The sequence below is a fragment of the Homo sapiens genome, chromosome 3 (assembly GCF_000001405.40).
Source record: "Homo sapiens chromosome 3, GRCh38.p14 Primary Assembly".
NCBI lineage: Eukaryota > Metazoa > Chordata > Mammalia > Primates > Hominidae > Homo > Homo sapiens.
This window is the reverse complement of record NC_000003.12, coordinates 130,528,547-130,550,886: the sequence shown is the minus strand read 5'-3', so window position 1 is coordinate 130,550,886 and position 22,340 is coordinate 130,528,547. Positions and strand designations below refer to the sequence as shown.

General features: G+C 40.6%; 1 protein-coding gene across 16 annotated transcripts in view, besides 1 other annotated feature; it reads right to left on the bottom strand.

The window, feature by feature from the left end:
- COL6A6 (collagen type VI alpha 6 chain) overlaps positions 1–22,340 on the bottom strand; it is a 160,323-nt gene that overhangs the window by 126,156 nt on the left and 11,827 nt on the right. Inside the window, exon 1 of one of the 16 annotated variants that reach the window (XM_047447446.1) lies at positions 2,049–2,216. The exons of the other annotated variants lie outside the window; for them this stretch is intronic. The gene's annotated coding sequence lies outside the window, so the exon portion shown is untranslated. Of the gene's footprint in view, positions 1–2,048; positions 2,217–22,340 lie in introns of those variants that run through there. 16 annotated transcript variants of the gene reach the window in all.
- Positions 11,651–11,720: a silencer, noted in NCBI's record as "silent region_14733". NCBI's record gives its function as "represses an Ori minimal core promoter by ATAC-STARR-seq in GM12878 lymphoblastoid cells {active_cell/tissue: GM12878}" and the evidence as "EXISTENCE:reporter gene assay evidence [ECO:0000049][PMID:35858748]".

Sequence of the window (22,340 nt, the reverse complement as noted above, 5' to 3'; positions counted from 1 at the left end):
TAAAATTCAACATCCCTTCATGTTAAAAACCCTCAACAAACTGGGGATTGAAGGAATGTACTACAAAATAATAAGAGCCTGATATGGTTTGGCTGTGTCACCACCAAAATCTCAACTTGAATTTTATCTTCCAGAATTCCCACATGTTGTGGGAGGGACCCAGGGGGAGGTAATTTAATCTTGGGGCTGGTCTTTCCCTTGCTATTCTTGTGATAGTGAATAAGTCTCACAAGATCTAATGGGTTTATGAGGGGGTTCTGCTTCTGCTTCTTCCTCATTTTCTCTTGCTGCTGCCATGCAAGAAGTGCCTTTCACCTCCATCCATGATTCTGAGGCCTCCCCAGCCATGTGGAACTGTAAGTGCAATTAAACCTCTTTTTCTGCCCAGTCTCAGGCATGTCTTTATCAGCAGCATGGAAACGAACTAACACAGAGCCATCTATGACAAACCCATAGCCAACATCATACTGAATGGGGAAAGCTGGAAGCATTCCCCTTGAAAACCAGAACAAAACAAGGATGGTCTCTCTCATCACTTCAATTCAACATGGTACTGGAAGTCCTGGCCAGAACAACCAGGCAAGAGAAAGAAATAAAAAGCATTCAAATAAGAGGAAGTTGAATTTTCCCTGTTTGCAGACAATATGATTCTATAACTAGAAAATTCTACAGTGCCTGCCCAAAAGCTTCTTGATCTAATTAACAACTTCAGCAAAGTTTCAGGATAAAAAAAATCAATGTACAAGAATCAGTAGCATTCCTATATACTAACAGCATCCAAGATGAGAGCCAAATCAAGAACATGATCCCACTCGCATTAGCCACAAAAAGAATAAAATACCATCTCATCAGGGAGGTGAAAGATCTCTACAATGAGACTTCTGAAACGCTGCTCAAATAAATCAGAGATGACACAAACAAATGGAAATACATTCAATGGTATTCCTATCAAACTAGCAATGATATTCTTCAGAGAATGAGGAAAAGAAACTACTTTAAAATTTAGATGGAACCAAAAAAGAGCCTAAATAGCCAAGGCAATCCTAAACAAAGCTGGAGGCATCACATTACCTGACTTCAAACTATACTACAAGGCTACAGTAACCAAAACAGCATGGTACTCGTACAAAAGCAGACACACAGACCAATGGAACCGAATAGAGCCCAGACATAAGGCTGCACACCTACAACCATCTGATCTTTGACAAAGCTGACAAAAACAAGCAATAGGGAAAAGACTCCCTATTAAATAATGCTGGAATAACTGGTTAGCCATATGCAGAAGATTGAAACTGGACCCCTTCCTTACACGATATACAAAAAAAAACAATCCAAGATGGATTTAAAAAACTGAAATGTAAAACCCTCAAGTACAAAAACCCTGGAAGATAACCTAGGAAATACTATTCTGGACATGGGACCTAGCAAAGATTTCATGACAAAGACATGAAAAGCAATTGCAACAAAACCAAAAATTGACAAATGAGACCCAATTAAACTGAAGAGTTTGAGGCCAGCCTGAGCAACATAGTGAGAGCCTATCTCTATAAGAAATTTTTAAAAGTGGCCAGATAGGGTGGCACAAGCTTCTCAAAAGGCTGAGGTGGAAGAAGTACTTGTGCCCAGGAGGTCAAGGCTGCAGTGAGCCATGATCATGCCACTGTACTCTAGCCTGGATGACAAAGTGAGACCTTGTCTCAAAAAAACAAAAATATGAATGAATCTTAGCAATATAAAGAGCGAAAACATGAATCCCAGAAAACTACATAGAGCATAATATCCTTTTTATAGCATTAGAAACAACTAAAGTTAATATAGGTTTAAAGGAGTATAAATGCGATAAAATTATATTTTAAAAATCAAAGGGATGGTTTCCAGCCTAGCATATAAGAAGCTTGGAGGTCATCGTGCCATCCTAACAAGTAAAAAGCTGAACAAACTGAAAAATCAACTATTTTTCTTAGATCTGTAACACAAGAAAGGTCACAGGACAAACCCCTGCCCCCATTGGAGAGACTAACAGGCAAATACAGAGAATCACAACTTACCAGAAAAGAAATCCATGAACTAAACCATCTGTGTGAACCCATGCTGGGGTAGGAAAACCTGAACTGCAATTGACAAACTGCAGGAGACTTAGAGTGTACAAGTCTGAGAAATAAAAACTCCAGGCGTAGAGAACCCACTTTTGTGAGTTTACCTCCTGGTGCTCTACTGGGAACTCACAGTGAATACTGGAGAGAAAAACCCTCATGCTTCTGGCAGAAGGAGACAATTAGGAGCCACTTTGAAATATGCCAGAGCACTTTGCTCTTCTTAACAAGTACTGCCCTCAGGGGAAAGTAGTTAAGGAGATCCTAACCAGCTGGGGTTTTATCAGAGCTTAACTGACCTGGAGGAAGAAATATCCAACTCCAACCCCCTTTAGATTTGCATGTGGGAGAAGGAAAACACCCATCTCCAGCCCACTCTAGCCATCCAGTCTCACCAAGGTGGGACAGGGGCCTGAGAAGCACTTGTGGAATTCATAGTCCAAAAAACACAGGCTAACTAAAAGACTGAGGCCTGCTCATAGAACTATGCAACACTTCCTCTCCTTACCACCACATTACCAAAGGCCTATTGACTGCAGTTCCTTTTACCCAGCACATTGCATCCAGCTACCAGGAAAAAATTACAAGACTTTCTAAAACGTTAAAAAAAAGTTTGAGAAGACATAGCAAACATCAGAACCAGACTCAGACATGGCAGGGATGTTGGAATTATCATACTAGGATTTAAAACAACTAGGATTGGCCGGGCACAGTGGCTCATGCCTGTAATCCCAGCACTTTGGGAGGCCAAGGCAGGCGGATCACCTGAAGTGAGGAGTTCAAGACCAGCCTGGCCAACATGGTGAAACCCCATCTCAAAATACAAAATTTAGTCAGACATGATGGCAGGTGCCTGTAGTGCCAGCTACTCGGGAGGCTGAGGTGGGAGAATCACTTGAACCCGGGAGGCGAAGGTTGCAGCGAGCCGAGACGGCACCGCTGCCCTCCAGCCTGGGTGACAGAGCGAGACTCCCTCTCAAAAATAAATAAATAAATAAAACAACTAGGATTAATATGCTAATGGCTCTTATGGATAAAGTAGACAGCACACAATAACAGATGGCCAATGTAAGTAGAGAGATGGAAATTCTAAGAACCCAAAAGAAATACTAGACATCAAAACATCATAACAGATCATGAACGCCTGTGATGAGCTTATGGGCAGGCCAGACACATTGAGAGGTGACAACATGCTGGCGGCCCTCACTCGTTCTCAGCCCCTCCTCGGCCTCGGCATCTGCTCTGGCCACGCTTGAGGAGCCCTTCAGCCCGCCACTGCACTATAGGAGCCCCTCTCTAGGCTGGCCAAGGCCGGAGCCGGCTCCCTCTGCTTGCAGGGAGGTGTGGAGGGAGAGGCACAGGCCAGAACCAAGGGCTGTGTGCAGTGCTTGCAGGCCAGTGCGAGTTCCCAGTGGGTGCCGCCTCAGCGGGCCCCCGCACTTGGAGTGGCTGGCAGGTGCCACCAGCCCTGAGCAGTGAGGGGCTTAGCACCTGGGCCAGCAGCTGCAGAGGGGGCGCTGGGTCCCCCAGCAGTGCCAGCCCACTCTTGCCACGCTTGAATTCTCCCTGGGCCTCAGCCACCTCCCTGCGGGGCATGGCTCGGGACCTGCAGCCTGCCATGCCCGAGCCCCTCCGCAGTCGGCTGCCTCGTGGCCCAAACCTCCCAGATGGGCGTCGCCCCCTGCTCTGTGGCGCCAGGTCGCATCAACCGCCCAAGGGCTGAGGAGTGCAGGCAGGCCGCGCAGGACTGGCGGGCAGCTCCACCTGCTGCCCCCATGCAGGATCCACTAGGGGAAGCCAGCTGGGCTCCTGAGTTGGGTGGGGACTTGGAGAACTTTTATGTCTAGCTGGAGGATTGTAGATGCACCAATCAGCACTCTGTCTAGCATAAGGTTTGTAAATGCACCAATCAGTGCTCTGTGTCTAGCTAATCTAGTGGGGACTTGAAGAACTTTTGTGTCTAGCTAAAGGATTGTAAATACACCAATCAGCACTCTGTGTCTAGCTCAAGGTTTGTAAATGCACCAATCAGCATCCTGTGTCTAGCTCAAGGTTTGTAAACGCACCAGTCGGTGCTCTGTGTCTAGTTAATCTGGTGACGACTTGGAGAACTTTTATGTCTAGCTAGAGGATTGTAAATGCACCAATCAGCACCCTGTCAAAATGGATCAATTAGCTCTCTGTAAAATGGACCAATCAGCTCTCTGTAAAATGGGCCAATCAGCAGGATGTGGGTGGGGTCAGATAAGGGAATAAACGCAGGCTGCCTGAGCCAGCAAAGGTAACCTGCTTAGGTCCTCTTCCATGCTGTGAAAGCTTTGTTCTTTTGTTCTTTGCAATAAATCTTGCTGCTGCTCACTCTTTGGGTCTGCACTGCCTTTATGAGCTGTAAACACTCACCTCGAAGATCTGCAGCTTCACTCCTGAGGCCAGCGAGACCACGAACCCACTGGGAGGAATGAACAACTCCGGACGCACCACCTTAAGAGCTGTAACACTCATCGCGAAGGTCTGCAGCTTCACTCCTGAAGCCAGCGAGACCACAAACCCACCAGAAGGAAAAAACTCCAAACACATCCGAACGTCAGAAGGAACAAACTCCGGACACACCATCTTTAAGAACTGTAACACTCACCGCGAGGGTCCGGGGCTTCATTCTTGAAGTCAGTGAGACCAAGAACCCATGAATTTTGGACACAACATGACTGAGGAATGAATGTCTGAGATTGAGACTAGCTCAATAGAAACTTCCAAAACTGAAAAACAGAAAAATGACCAAAAAACCCTGGAATCTCCGATAATTGTGGAGCAACTAGCAAAGATATAATATGTGCAAAATGGGAATACTAGGGAAAGAAAGAAAAAAAGAAGTAGAAGTAATATTTGAAACACTGAGAGAATTTTCCCAAATCAATGTCAGACACCAGATCGCAGATACAGGAAGCTTAGAGAGCACCAAGCAGGATAAATGCCAAAAAAGTACACCAACGCATAACACTTTCAAACCATAGACAATCAGAGATAAAGAAAAAAGCCTGTCCGGGCACAGTGGCTCACGCCTGTAATCCCAGCACTTTGGGAGGCCGAGGCTGGTGGATCACCTGAGGTCAGGAGTTTGAGACTAGCCTGGCCAACATGGTGAAACCTCTGTCTCTACCAAAAAAATACAAACTTTAGCCAGGAGTGGTGGCAGGCATCTGTAGTCCCAGCTACTCAGGAGGCTGAGGCAGGAGAATCACTTGAATCCGGGAGGCGGAGGTTGCAGTGAGCCGAGATCATGCCACTGCACTCCAGCCTGGGCGACAAGAGAGAAATCCCATCTAAAAAAAAAAAAAAAAAAATGCCTGAAAGCAGCCAGGAGGTGGAAAACCCTCACTTGGAGCAATGATGAGAATTACATTCAACTTCTCCTCAGAAATCATGAAAGTTTGAATAAAATATTTAAAGTTTTGAGATAATTCTGGGAAATTACCCTTCAAAAGTTAGAGAGAACCAAGACACAATAGAGAAAGGATAGTCTCTTCAATAAATAGTGCTGGAGAAATGGTATATCCACATGCAAAAGAATGAAACTGGACATGTATCTTACACCATCCACAAAAACCAACTCAAAATGTATAAAAGACCTAAATATAAGACCTGATATGATAAAACTCCTAGAAGAAAAGATAGGAGAAAAGTCTCTTGACATTGGTCTTAATGATTTTGGTTATCACACCAAAAGTTCAGGCTGCAAAGGCAAAAATAAATAAATAAAAAATAGATGGGCATACATCAAACTAAAATGTTTCAGCACAGCAAAGGAAATAATCAACAAAATGAAAAGGCAGCTTACAGATTGGTAGCAAATATTTGAAAACCATATATCTAATAAGGAGTTAATATTTAAAAAACCTCATACAATTGGATAGAAGAAACCTGAATAAAAAATGGGTAAAGGACCGGAACAGAAATTTTTCCAAAGATGACATACAAATGGCCAACAGGTATATGAAAAAGTGTTCAACATCACTAATCAGGGAAATGCAAATCAAAACCACAATAAGGTATCAGCTCACTCCTGTTAGGATAGCTATTATAAGAAAGATGAGAGATAACAAATGTTGAAGGTGTAGAGAAAAGGGAACCCTCATACACTGTTGGTGGGAATGTAGATTGGTGCAGCCACTGTGGAAAACAGTATGGAGTTGCCCAGAGAAATCAGAAATAGAACTACGTATGACCCTGCAATCCCTGCATCCCTCTTCTGGGTATATACCCAAAGGAAATGAAATTACCACCTTGTAAAGATATCTGCACTCCTTTGTTCATTGCAACACTGTTCACAATAGCCAACATACGAAAACGACTGAAGTGTTCATCATGGATGAATGGGTAAAGAAACTGAGATACACACACAGAAAGGGAGGGAGAGAGAGAAAGAGAGAGGAATATTATTCAGCCTTAAAAAAGGATATCCTCCCATTTGCCACAACATGGATGAGACTGGATGACACTATGCTAAGTGAAGTAAACCAGAAACAAAGAAAAAAACTGCATGATCTTATGATCTTACTTATATGTGGAATCTATTTTTTAAAAAGTTGAATACATAGAAATAGAGAATGACATGGTGATTACTGGGGGAAGCAGGAGGATATAAGGAGATATAGGTCAAAAGATATAAAGTTGCAGATATATAGGATGAATAAGTCAGGAGATTTAATGTACGTGAGAATTATAGTTAATAATATACTATTGTAGTCACAAGTTTCACTAAGAGATTTTAGACACTCCTGCCACTGTGTTAGATGAATGATATATTAATTTATTTGGCTGATCGTTTTACTATATATATCAAAATATCATGTTGCATATCTTAAAAATACACAATAAAAAAGTGAAGAAATACTTTCTCAAACAAAAATTGAGATAACTTGTAGACCTTCTTTGCAAGAAATATTAAAATAAACTTAGAAGAAAAATTATGTATGTCAGAAACTCATACATAAAAAGCATCAGAAAATAAAATACAACCATTTTTCTTATTCATAATTCATCTAACAGACAACAGATGAAAATAGCAATAATGCATTTGATTATATATGCTTGTATGTGTGTGTGTATATATGTGTGAAATGAATGACAGCAATGTTACAATAGATGGAAGGGAGAAATTAAAATTATTATATCTTACTTGCCTTACTCATGAAGCAGTATAAGTGTTATTTGAAAGTAGACTGGGATTAGTTGCAATGTATATCGTATACTCTAGGCAACCATTAAAAACAGCGTAAAAAAAGGAAGTGTAACTGTTATGCTAAGCAGGGAGGGAAAATGTAATCATAAAATGCTCAGTTAAAACCACAAAAGATAGACAAAGAATGGAAGATAAAAATAGGAACAAAGAAAAAGGGCATCGAATAGAAACAAGTAACAAATATGGTAGTTATTGATGCAACTATATCAATAATCATTTGAATGTCAATGGTCTAAATGCCCCAATTAAAAGACAGTTTGTCTGAGTGGATCAAAAAACAAAATCTCACTATATGTTCTGCACAGGAAGCCCACTTTAAATATGAAGCCAGATATAGATTAAGAGTGAATGGGTCAGACACGGTGGCTCACACCTGTAATCCCAGCACTTTGGGAGGCCGAGGTGGGCAGATCACGAGGTCAGGACATCGAGACCATCCTGGCCAACATGGTGAAACCCTGTCTCTACTAAAAATACAAAAATTAGCTAGGCATGGTGGCACGTGCTTATAATTCTAGCTACTCGGGAGGCTGAGGCAGAAGAATCCCTTGAACCCGGGAGGCGGAGGTTGCAGTGAGCCGAGATGGTGCCATTGCACTCCAACCTGGTGACAGAGCAAGACTCCTATCTAAAAAAAAAAAAAAAAAAAAAAAAAAGAGTGAATGGATGGAGAAACATGTACTATGTTAACACTAAGCAAAATAAAGCTGGAGTAGCTATATTAATTTCAGACAGATCAAACTTCAGAGCAAGAAAAGTTATCAGGGATAAGAAATGACACTACCTAATGACAAAGGAGTCAATTCTCCAAGAAGACATAATAATCCTTAACAGGTATGTGCCTAAAATCAGAGTGTCAAAATACATAAGGCAAAAACCAATAGAACTGTGAAGAGAAACAGATGAATCCACTATTATAGTTGAAGACTTCAATACCCCTCTATCAGAAATAAACAGATCCAGCAGGCAGAAAATCAGTGAGGACATAGCTGAACTCAACAATGCCATCAATCAACTGTATATAATGGATACCTATAGACTACTTCATCCAACAACAGCAGAATATACATTCTTCTCAAGCTCACATGGAACATTCACCAAGATAGACCACATTCTGAGCCACAAAACACGTTCACAAATTTAAAAAAACAGGAATCATACAATGTCTGCTCTCACATGACAATGGAATTAAACTAGAAATAACAAAAAATGTAGCTGGAAAAATACCAAAACACATGGCGATAAAACAACATACTTCCAAATAAAATGAGTAGAAGAAAAAAACAAGAAATTAAAAGATGAATAAAATGAAAATAGAAGCACAGCTTATCAAAATTTGTGTGACGCAGTGAATTAAATCCAAAGCAAAGAAAAAAGAGGAAAAAAATAAAAATTTTAAAAAGAAATCAATAGAAAAAAAAAATCAACAAAACCAAAAGATGGTTCCCTGAAAAAGAAAAAAAAAACAATAAAATTGATAAGCCTTTAGCCAGGCTAACTAAGAAAAAAAGAGGACACAAATTACTAATGTCAGAAAAGAAAGACAGGACATCACTGCAGATCCCATGGACATTAAAAGGCTAATCAAGGAATATTATGAAGAACTCTATGCCTGCAGATTTGATAACTCAGATGAAATGGACCAATTCCTTGAAAGACACAAGCTGCCAAAACTCACACAAGAATATACAACCTGAACAGGCTTATCTTTAGTAAGTAAATAAATAATAAACTTCCAAAACAGAAAATATCCAACCCATGTATGTTCACTGGTGGGTTTTGCCAGACATTTAAGAAAGAAATTACACCAATTTTATACAATGTCTTTCAGAAGATAAAAGCACAGGGAATACACTATATGTCATCAGGAAAATGCAAATTAAAACAAGGTACCACTACAAACCTCTTAGAGTGGCCAAAGCCCAGAACACTGACAACATCAAATGCTGACAAGGAGTTTGAACAATATGAACTCTGATTCATTGCTCATGGGAATGCAAAATGGCATAGCCACTTTGGAAAACAGGTTGGCAGTTTCTTGCAAAACTAAACCACAAGATCCAAATGAGTTGAAAACTTATGTCCACACAAAAACCTGCACATGGATGTTTCTAACAGCTTTATTAGTAATTGCCTAAACTTGGACGCAACCAAGATGTCCAGCAGGTAAGTGGATAAAGAATCACTGGTCCATCCAGACATTGGAATAGTATTCAGCACTAAAAACTATCAAGCCATGAAAAGACATGGAGGAAACTCAAGTGTTTATTGCTAAGTGAAAAAAGCCAATCTGATCACTGTGGCTCTGATTTTCATTTCTCCAATGATCAGTGATCTTGAGCTTTTTAAAAATATGTTTGTTGGCTGCATAAAAGTCCTCTTTTGAGAAGTGTCTGTTCATGTCCTTTGCCCACGTTTTAATGGGGTTGTTTTTTTCCTTGTAAATTTGTTTAAGTTCCTTGTAGATTCTGGACATTGGATTCCTCAAAGACCTACAACCAGAAATACCATTTGACCCAGCAATCCCATTACTGGGCATATACCCAAAGGAATATAAAAAAATCTATTATAAAGATATATGCACACATATGTTCACTGCAGCACTATTCACAATAGCAAAGACATGGAATCAACCCAAATGCCCATCAGTGATAGACTGGATGAAGAGAACTGGTACATATACACCATGGAATACTATGCAGCCATAAAAAGAAATGAGATTATATCCTTTACAGGGAAATGGATGAAGCTGGAAGTCACTATCCTCAGCAAACTAATGCAGGAACAGGAACCCAAACACCTCATGTTCTTACTTATAAGTAGGAGCTGAACGATGAGAACACATGGACACAGGGAGGGGAACAACACACAATGGAGCCTGTTGAGGGAGGGTGGGGTCAGGGAGGAGAGCATTAGGGAAAAGAGATAACGCATGTTGGGCTTAATACCTAGGTGATGGGTTGATAGATGCAGCAAACCACCATGGCACATGTTTACCTTTGTAACAAACCTGCACATCCTGCAATGTATCCTGGAGCTTAATTAAATTTTTTAAAAAAGAAAAAAAGGGCAGAGCACAAAGGATCTGTAGGTCAGTGAAATCATTCTGATACTATGATGGTGAACACATATCATTATAAATTGTCTAAACACATAGAATGGACCACATGAAGAGTAAACCCTAATGTAAATTATGGACTTTGGGTGATGATGTGCCAGCGTAGGCAGGTTCATCAATTGTGACAGATATCCCACGCTGATAGAGGATATTGATAATCAGGGAGGCTATGTATGTGTGATAGAGGATATATGGGAAATCTGTCCTTCAGCTCCGTTTTGCTGTGATGCTAAAACTGCTCTAAAAAAGTCGTCTATTTTTAAAAAGGAAATAACCATAAGGGTCAGGATAGTAGTTACATAGGATGTGGGGGGCAGAGAGAAAGGACTGAAAATAAACTCATTGTAGATATGTTATTATCAACATTCCAGTTTTCATGTGGTAGAGGTTTATGGTTTATTATTAACAAATAAGCAAATAAATAGAACCTCTTGCAAGGACCCATAAATGAGTATGTAATGAACTGTGGGTTAGAATTAACCCAATTCTATGTACCTGAAATCCAATAAATGTATATTTTTAAAAAACTCAAAATTTTTAGAATTAAATACTGTTGAAGGAAAGAGATCAGGCAATTAAGCCTCCAGTTCATTTAAATGCTGACAGCAGGTATGAAACAATTGCAGGGAGTATTTGTCCCACTGAGATGGTCATCTGTAATAAGTTTTGTATTAGTGTGGCAGGAAACAAGGAAGTGAAGAGCATATTTTGATCAAAAGAACCTTCCTTGAGCCCATAATTTTTCATGGTGTACTGCAGAACCCAATTAAAGGAACTCAAAGAAATAAATTTTTTTTTTTTTTTGAGACGGAGTCTCGCTCTGTTGTCCAGGCGGGAGTGCAGTGACGCGACTTGGCTCACTGCAACCTCCGCCTCCCGGGTTCACGCCATTCTCCTGCCTCAGCCTCCTGAGTAGCTGGGACTATAGGCGCCCACCACCACACCCGGCTAATTTTTGTATTTTTAGTAGAGACGGGGTTTCCCTATGTTGGTCAGGCTGGTCTGAAACTCCTGACCTCTTGATCCACCGGCCTCGGCCTCCCGAAGTGCTGGGATTACAGGCGTGAGCCACCGCGCCCAGCCCAGAAATAAAATTTCATCAATGAAAAACCACCTAGCAATAACCATAATCTCTGTGGCTGACACTTCTTAGTTGTTCACCAAAAATTAGTGCTGCCCATTCCACATTGAGAAGTTGTCACTGAGCCATGGCGGCCAGCAGGGGGCTATATTTTCTAGCTCCACTTGCAATGGCTAAATGAGTGCCAGCCAATGCAACCTCAGCAGAAATTCCCACAGGGGGCACCTCAATCTTTCTTCCCCTTCTGATTGGCTGGAATGGAGACAATCTCAAGCACCAAATGTTGAGGATGGCAAGGTTACTCTCAGCATGGGGACCTGAATGGCTGTGTGGACAGGGGCCACCCCATGAATGTGTTTACAGACCTACTTCTGTTAAATCAGTAATAATTTAACTTACTATTGTGTGTGCATCAGTATACATTTTTAGGTTTATTAGCTACAGCAGCAAGCATTACCCAATGTAGCCTCTAGCACCTATGATTGTAGGATAGCATGAAATAGTAGAGATAGGAGAGAAATTCTGAGCAGGGGATAGGAGGTGTGGGACAAATTCGAGGCACAGGCAGAATCACTCCACTGAAAATGACTTGGCAATACTGAGCTCACACTCCAATTATACTAGGATCCACCTGTAAGGCTGTGTAGGCTAGTAGTTAAACTCATGGATTCTGGCATCAGACTGCCTAATTAAAATCCTAGTTCTATAGCCCACAAACTGCATGACTAGGCAAGTAATTTAATTGCTTTGAACCCATTTCTCATCCATAAAATGGTGTTAGTAACCACATCCACTTCAAGGAATTGTTTTGGGGGTTAAATGAACTGATGTGTGTAAACGAGTTGGCACAGTATCTTCTTTGCAGCAGATACTAAGTAAATGTTAGCTGTTGTCATTATTTTTATTTTTGTTGCCATCTTTACAATGGGACAGCTTGTGAGTAACCTAGAAAAGGCACCGCCTGGCAAGGAACTTTATTTACTCTCTCTCCTAAAGTCTTTCCTTATCACATTTTCAACTCTTAACATGTCTACAGGCTTGTATAACATTTGCTTAGGTATAATATTTTGCAGATTTCCAAGTCTTTTCACAGCCATTATCTCCCTGAACCCTGAGAGTACCCCTGTAAAGTAGGTATAATTTTTTATTCATTTTTTACAAGGGAAACATCTAAGTCTTGGCAAAGTTGAGCATTTCCTCAGGTCACAGCCAGTCCTGCTGATCTGAGTCCAGTGCTTTTTCCACTATATCATATTGCTTTCCTTGAGGCAAAGCTTTGCATGCTATCCAGTTCTCTGCAGATGAAGGAATTTTATCTAATGTGTTAGAATGTACCAGATAATCTGTGTGTAATTATCTTTCACTGGAAATTTCTTTAAGTTGTCTTCTTTCTCAATGAATGGATACCAACTGCTGTGAATTTCTGCCATTGACAGCTAATCCCATTAAGTCTGAATAGAGGCTCTGTATCTCCAAGTTGCTGTTTTTCTGTATTTGACCAAGATACAAAAGGGCAGCCATACTGACACAATTTATAACGGCCAATAATGACATCAGCTAGTCTGAAATCTGTCCAGCAATACCCAAAGGACTAGAGAGGTAATAAAATATTTGGTCACTGATAAAATATTCATTACAGCTAAATCAAAAGCATGCATGGCAGGAAAAATGAGGTTTAACTGGTACTCTTGAATATCCCAGCAGCTAAGCCCAAAGTAGACATTCAACAAATATCTGCTAATTGTTGACCACCTAAGTTTTAGGCTTGGAAAAGCAAAACACAACTAAAGAGATTCACACAGGGTAGCATTTGAAAGCTAGCATGGATTTTCTCTATTAGCTCAAGTATTAAGTACCTTTGAAAAATAGTCTGACCTTGCATTGAGCAAACTAAGTAGAGAGAAACTCATAAGATCCCTGGGCTGACTGGCTACAGTTGGTGGGGTGTGGGGGTGTTTCTGGAACGAATAACAGCTACTACTGAGCACTACTAAGTGCCAGCCATTATTCTAAGAGCCACACTTAATTGTCTCAACAACCCGATGAGTACCAGACCCACTTTACAGATGAGATTGAGTTAGAGGGTTAAGTAGCTTGCTGAAAGTCACACAGCTATTAATTGATAGAGCTAGAACAAACTAATCAATCAAATGTGAATGTAGTGTCCCTAACTGTGTTAAGGGAAACAGACAATCTAATTGCTGAGCTGTAACAAATACACTAAAAAATAATTAACTGTTAAATAATGCACAGTTGAATATGACTGCCATCTCAGTAAGTGGTACCACTACTCACCAAGTTTCCTCAGCTAGAAACATAGGAATAATTAACTCATCTCCTTTCACATCCCTGAGCAGACACTGTTAGTTTTACTTAAAAAAATTAGATCTCAGATCCAGCCATTCGTCAATACCTTTTTTACTTCCACCTTAATCTAAGACACTATCATCTCACCTGAATTCTAGCAAAAGCTTTCTAATTGGACTCCTTGCTTCCACTCTGGCCAATTACATATTATTCAAGTGTGCTTCATTTTAAACTAAAAATGAGATAGTTTCACATCTACTCAAAACCCCTTTCCATGTTCATCAGGGCCTTCCATGGTCTAGGCCCTATTAATCCTCTGACTTCATCTCCTTCCTCTCTCTCACCACTCCAGCTGCACTGATTTCACTTTTCCTTGAACAGGACATGCTTGTTCTACCTGAGGGCCTTCACAGTTTCTGCTACTTTGGTTTCCTTAGATGTGTGTTTAAATATTACATCCTTCTTAAAGGGACGTTTGGTTAGCACCCTATTGAAAATAATTTCCCCTTCTCTACCCGTCTACTCCCAATCACTATTATTTCTCTTCAGAGGACTTGTCTTCGTCAGCGAATCTATTGTGGTAATATTTGTTTCCTTGCTTATGGTCTTTCCTCATAAGAATGTGAGTACCACAAGGGCAGGTATGTGTTTTTGCAGGCTGCACCCTGGAGTCTGGAACAGTGCCTGACCCACTGTGGTACTTGAATGAACAAGTAAATGAATGGATGTATAGGGATGAAAGAATGAAAAGAGACAGGTGTCTCTTGTGTAAGGACAGAAGGACTCACAGAGAAAGTGAGACTTGAGTGTGACTTTAAAGGATGAACAGAATTTGGTTATGTGTAGAAAAAAGTGGAGAAGAATTTGTTTCATGAAGATGCATGAGCAGAAATCACTACGTAAGACTAACTATTGGAGAAGTTTTCTGTATAGCAGAGTTTACAAGAGCATCCCCTTCTATAAAATCAAAAATAGAAAATTTGGCTCACTGGCCTGGAGAAATGGCTAGAATAAGGATATCAAACTCTATATATGTATCAGCTACCATTTAGTATTCATAGCAATTCTTTGAAATTCTATTATTTTCTCCACTTTCCAGATGAGGAGTTGAGGCTCAGAAGCTAGGTAACTTTTCTAAGGTCCTACAGTGATAAAGTAGTACAAATGGGATTTGAACCTAAGCAGTTTCACAGTCACAAGACTAATCAAAGTGTTTTACTGGAACCCTATATTAAAGAAGAATCATAGATAAGAAACTTAGAAGTCTGGTGAAGAGTAGATAGAGGGCTTCACCCTACAAAATCCATATGGTACAGGAGTCCCAAACTGAGGAATTAATGCAAAAACTGGTTTCAACCATGAAACTCCTCAGCAGCTGCAGAGGCAAAGGCAAAACTCTTTAGGGGCATTTTCACCACTTTAGGTGCATAGGAATCTCTCAAACACGTAAAAATAGCCACTGCTGAAGATGAGCGCAGAAAAAATTACAACTATGGAAAAAAAAAAAGAATCACTCAAAGGGAGGCAGAAGGTTTCACAAAGAGGAGATGTGGCATCCAAGACCACTGGCTAATAAAATAATTCAAAAGACACTGCAAAAACAAATTTGTGAAAAGTGCTTAAAGAGATGATAGAAAGCCACAGTGAAAAAAAGGAAAAGCATAAAATAGCTGGAGCACAAAAAAGTATAAAATGAGGTATGAATTTGAAAAACAACCATAAAAATATCTATCCATGGAAAATATGTGCACTGGAACTAAAATTGATTCATTAAACGTTGTGTTTTATATAGAACATTTAAAACAAGAATTAGTTACCCAGAGTAAAGCAAAGAAAAATAAAGATACAGAAAATATAACAGGGAAGTTAAAAGCCTGGAGTGAGAACAACTGACATGGGTCTAATAGGAATAGTGAGGGGGAAAAAAGAGAATGAGAGGCAATGTCTGAGGAGGTCATGGATGAGAATTTTCCAGAACTGAAGGAAAATACTATGAGTTCTCTTGGGTGGAGCAAATGAAGACTTGACTTGAGGAGGTAAAATAAATCAACAAATGAATGAGATTTGATGAGCAAATTTGTCATTCATATCGATAGATGCCAGACTAATATAAATGCTACTATAACATAGTAGGAAAAAACCCAATACTCATTATAATTCAAAAATGAGAGTGAAATAAAACATTAACAGAAAAAAATCTACTTCTAGATTTTCACGTGAAACACTACGATTAAACCCAGAAAAGAAAACGAAGGAAGCAATGGTAATAATTTGAATGTAGGTAAATCTAAGTAGGTGCTGGCTGTGAAAAAAAATAACCCAGGGTGGTTTAAAATCAAGTGTAGCTAAAACATTCGCAATAAAAATGTGAAAGATGAGAGGGAAGTCATCAAGGAAAACATACGCCTGAGTTCTCATGTTAGGTATTTACTAAGATAGGTGTTTACTAAGACTAAACTCTGATAAAATCACACACAATATTCCAAAGGCAGTATGTCAAAATGCAAACCCAAACCATTATGACTTTGGAAGAAATTAATGAAAATACAGTAAGTATAAATCATAAAGGAGAGGATTGGTGAATGGAAATACATTAAAATGTTAGTGCTGACAAAAGACATCATAAATAAGAAATAAGCTACTATAAGGAGTAATATATTTAATCTATGAATCAATATGAAATCACTGACTCCAGCAGAAAGATGAACAATGAATATGAACATGAAATTCACAGCAGAGGTAATCTGAATGGTCAATAGCCACATGAAAAGATCCTTAGCCTTATCAGTAACAGGGAAATGCATATTAAAACAGTGAGGTTCCATTTCCTTCCTATTAGACTGGCCAAAATGAGTTTGACAATACCAAAAGTTGACAAGGATGTAGGGAAGTTAGAACTTATATACATGGCTGGTGGGAATATAATTTGATGCACTCACTTTGGAGAGCAATTTGGCAATTTCACGTAAAATTAAAGATGACCTAGCAGTTTCATGTAAAGCAGATACCCTACAGAAACCCTGGTACATGTGTACAAGACAATATATGTTCGTAAAAATTGCAGACTATTAATGTTCATGCAGAGGTTAAAAAAGATTAAACTGGCGTGCACACACACATACGTGGGAATATTGTTCAAACATTAAATGAATACTTTAGATCTACATGCCTTGAAGAGGAATAAATCTCAAAACACAGTGAGAAAACTAGTTGTAGGTTGACATGACCTACCCACAACAGGGCTCCTATCCTTGGATGAGAGGCTTAGGGAAGAAGTCTCAGAAGTACAATACCATCCATGTAAAATTATTAAAACACACCAAAATACCAAGTGTTTAAGCAGAGGTACATTAAAACAAAACTTGGAACAATACAAATCAACTTCAGAACAGTGGTCCCCGCTGGGAATGCAAAGTGGAAAATGGGAGCAGAAAGGGGGACCAAGAGGATTTCTAACTTGTCTGTAATATTTTATTTTTTTAAAAAGTCTGAACAAACATTGAAAGATGTTATTGTTAAATCTGGGTAAGGAATAGTTATTACATTATTCACTATGCTTTTCTGTGTATTTGAAAAAAGTCATAAGAAAAAAGGAATGCTAAATGATGTCATGCAAGAAGAAGGAACAAACAAAGGTCTTTCAAAAAAGGAGTGTTCATATCTTGTGAAAACCAATCTGGTAGAGGGTTGGAGGGTAAGTGGCAAGGAGGTGACGAAGTGATGAAATCCATTGTTATTAAATTAGGTGGAGCACCTGTGCTTGACACCGTTTTTGCTTTTTTTTTTTTTTTTTTTAATTCCTGGGATGTAAGGCTATGAAAGAATTATTGACAGAGGCAACAAACTGCACTTGTTAGAAAATACGGTAAAATATGGCCGCTATTTCTTTGCCACTGCTGCCACTGAGAAGAAAAGTCGATTTTCCCTTCCCCTAAATCTAGGTTAGCTTTAATGACTTACTTGATCAGTAGAATGTGGCAGAAGTGATGGACTCAGGCTTTCAATGCTAGGTCATAAGAAACCTTGGAGCTGGCATGTAGGCTCCTGAGGCACTTGCTCCGGGCCAAGTCAGCTGCCAGTAAGGAGTTCCGCTATTCTGAATCCATATTGTGAAAAAATCTAAGCTAGCTCCATGGAGAGGCTTTGTGAAGAGGTCAGGAGAGATGCCTAACCAGCTCCCAGATGATCCAGCCCTCCCAGCCCAGGTGCCAGACATGTGACTGAAAACATAGTGATGACTCTGGCCACTATCTCACTGAGACCCTAAGCAAGAATTACCCAGAAACCCAGTCAACCCACAGAACCATGAGAGATATTACATTGTTTTTAGGCCACTACTTTTTGGAATGATTTACTTTGCAAACTTAGATAACTGGTGCATAAAGTAAGATCCAGTTTTAATTCCTTGAAGCACAGAATCTGAGGTGTCCACAAGTCATAGGAGTGGAGACATCCCACAGGCAGATGGACATGTAGTATTGGAAACTTAGTGAGTCACTGCTGTCACATTCATGAGTAAGTCACCTGCTTTGGTCAGTGTACCAGCCCCTGGGAACACAAAATCCAGCAAAGACAGCCCCGGACATCATGAAATCAGAGTCTGATTGGGGACGCAAGGGGTAGACCTGTGTTCACACAGGTGGGCGAGCCCAAGGTAGGAGTGTAGAAGATCAGAAAAGGGGCACATTAATGCCTTGGCAGAGTGGGATGGGGGGGTACAGAAACTATTTTTCTGTAAAGTGGCTGCTTTAATAAGTTCTGAAGGAAAAATACTCAGTGTCAAGCACAGGTACTCCCTGAGTGAATAAAGACAACAGACAATAGGGGTAGGGAGAAATGCTGATAAGTGGCATCATTTCCAGGAATTTGAAGTCAATAACTAGGGAAATTGCATCGCCTTGTCAACTGCCCCATTAGGTTATTTATATATTAATCTCAGAAGGACACAGAAAAGATCCTATTTCAAAAGCTATCAAAAGAAAATTAAAGCAAAATGCAAAATATGATATGCAAATCCATGCATTTACATGTTCATCTGGCATTTTTCAAAAGTCATATTTCATCCTAAACACACCTCCCAAAACCTCTTCCCCTGTGCTATCTCTATACCAGAAAAAGGCATGGTTTTTCTTTGAGGAAAACACATATACAGTATTTTTATAGTTTATAAATTGCTTTTACATTATAACCACTCTATGAGGTAGACTCTGCTCTTCTCATTTTATAGATGTTAACACTGAAATTCAGCAAGAACGAGTGACTCTACCAAGGCTACAAGCTGGTAAACAGCAGGATTTTGACTCAAATCAAATCATCTGCTTCTCTTTCATGGCTGCCCCTGCCTTCAAGGGGTTTCAATGGAGAAGGACAAAGCACAGGCCTATGAGACTATAAGAAGCACATTAGAAAACTCTGTGAAAAGACAGGCATGAGAGCAGAAGCTCAAGGGGGAGGCAGGTTATTAGAGCCACCTTTGATAGTAGTGATTTTGAGCCAGACTTTGTGGACAGTGTTTTGATGGGGAAAGGGAAGAGAATGTAGGCTATGTGGGCAGCAGAGCAGCACTGGTTCAATGGGAGTGAACTAGGGGGAAGAGCTCATACATTTTCCTTTTTATACCAGTTGTTCTCACCTGGAGATTTTCCATTCCCAGTGGACATTTGGCAATGTCTGGAAATATTTTTGATTCTGCTGGGGTGTGGGGTGCCACTGACATCTAGTGGGTAGAGGTCAACCCACTACTGTTGTTAGTATGCTGCTAATAGGATGTTAGATGCTGCTAAACATCCTGCAGTGCACAGAAGAGTTCCCCAAAATAAAGAATTGTGCAGCCCGAAGGTCAATAGTTGAGAAACTATATAGGTTGAAAAGCCTGGACCTACACATATTTAGCACATTGAATTAGGGTTCTCCAGCGAAACAAAATCAATAGGTACAGAAAGGCAATGTGTGAGTGGCAGAGAGAGAGAGAGAGAGAGAGAGAGAGACTGTGTGTGTGTGTGTGTGTGTCTGTGTGTGTGTGTGTGTGTGTGTAGAGGAGGGGGGTGGAGAGGAGAGAAAGAGAGACTTCAAGAAATTGGTTCACGTAATTATGAGGGTTGACAAGTCCCAAATTTGCGGAGTAGGCCAACAAGTTGGAAATTCCAGCAGGAGTTGATGTTGCCATCTTAAGTCTGAAAGCAGAATTTCTTCTCCCTCAGGGGACCTCAGTCTTTTTCCTTAAGGCCTTCAGCTGATTGAATGAGGCCCACATGCATTACTGAGGGTAATCTACTGCACTTGAAATCTCCTGATTTAAATGTTAATCATATCTAAAAAACACCTTCACAGCAACACGGAGACTGGTGTTTGACTAAATAACTGGGCCCCACAGCCTAGCCAAAGGTTAAGCACCCTAACATATTACAACCATTTAACTTTCAAAACCCTGTGAGGCAAATTTAATCCTTGTTTTAAAGACAAAGGAAATAAAACTCAGAGAATAAATTTTCCCAGAGTTGCACAGTTAATAATACTAACAGTTAACATATTTTCACCACTTACTTTGAGCAGTGCTGTGTTAACAGCTCTAGGTTATCTCATTTAATCCAATTCAGGTAGCTACTAGTATTTTTATCAACTCCATTTGATAGATGAGAATGCTGAGGTACAGAAAGGCGATGTAAATTTTCCAGAGCCAAACGGTTTTTAAGCAACAGAGCAAGGGTTTTGAGGCCAGGCAGTCCGGCTTCAGAGTCCATACCCTAATCCATGGTCCTCACACTGGAACAAGCTTCAGACGGTATTTTTATCAACTCCATTTGATAGATGAGAATGCTGAGGTACAGAAAGGTGATGTAAATTTTCCAGAGCCAAACGGTTTTTAAGCAACAGAGCCAGGGTTTCGAAGCCAGGCAGTCTGGCTTCAGAGTCCATACCCTAACCTGTGATCCTCACACTGGAACAAGCCTCAGAATCGCCAGGAGGGCTAGACTGAAACACTGACAGCTGGGCCACAGCCCCAGAGACTCTGAATCAGTAGGTCATGGTGAGCCTCAGGATTTGCATATCAAACAATGTTCCAGGTGATGCTAATACGGAAGGGCTGAGGACAACACTTTGAGAACCACTCCTCTAAACCACTGTGCTGCCCTCTGCTGAGGAGGGGGACTGAGTTCGTGCAATCCTCAAAAATTCACTGAGCCCCTGCCATATACCAGGTGTTGGAGATAAAATAACAAGGCAGTCATGGTCCTTTCCCTCATGAACTTTTCCAGGGCCAGGAGGTTAAATTTATGTCAACAGAAAGAGATCTGGCTTTAATAGAGAACCTCACTAAGGACTACAGGTGCTCCCAGCAGGGGCCCCTTCTCTGGGTGTGGACCAGGAAAGATACCTCAGAAAAAGCAGATGACTAAGCTGAGGAGAAGACTTGAAGGAGAAGCAGAAATTAAACAGGTGATTGTAATGAGGTGAGGCAGCATGTCCAAGGCAGGGAGATCAGCATGTATCTGGAAAGGCCCAGAGGGGACAGAAGAGCTTAAGCAGTTCAGCAAGCTAAGTCACAATAGGTTGCCTGTGTCTCCCTGGCATATCATCATACAATCTGCACAATACATTTTCTGTGCTCCATTTTCCTCATCTGTATACTAGGGATGAAAATACCATATTTCCTGAATTCAGAGTGAACATTTCCACTCCACCCTGATTTTAACATGCATGAAATCAGGATGTGTGTTACTAGAGATTTGTACACTTCCTGCTTTTTTTTTTTTTTTTTTTACATTTCCTGCTGTGTTTTTGTACATTTCCTGCTGTGTTTTTCCCCCCTTCATTGAAAGCTATTGGTCAACTGATGATCTCTCAGAATTAAGAAAAGATGGAGTCATTTTGCCTTGCCTATCTCCTAGGGCAAAGAGAATAAGGGGCTATCAAATGAGATTGAGGCCCAGAGTGGCTCTCAGCCCAGGCTGCACCTTGGCATCACCTGGGGATGTTGCCCAGGCTGGAGTGCAGTGGCGGCATGATCTCAGCTCACTGCAAGCTCCAGCTCCCGGGTTCACGCCATTCTCGTGCCTCAGCCTCCCAAGTTGCTGGGACTACAGGTGTCCACCACACCTGGCTAATTTTTTATAGTTTTAGGAGAGAGAGGGTTATGCAACGTGTCAGCCAGGATGGTTTCGATCTTCCGACCTTGTGATCCACCTGCCTACGGCCTCCCAAAGTGCTGGGATTACAGGCGTGAGCCACTGCTCCCGGCTTACCTGGGGAGCTTTTTAAGTCTATCAGTGCCTCAGTCCCATCCCCAGTGATCCTGATTTTATTGATCTGAAATAGGAACCTGATGGGTGATTATTCAAACCCAGGTGACTTTGATGTGCATCTGAACCTAAGAACCAATACCACCTGATTCTGCCCCAGGAGTCAGAAAACTATGGTGTGTGAGCCAAAATGATGCTCTGCTTTGCTAAAGCTTTATTGGAACACACCCATATCCATTCACTTATGTACTATCTACGGCTG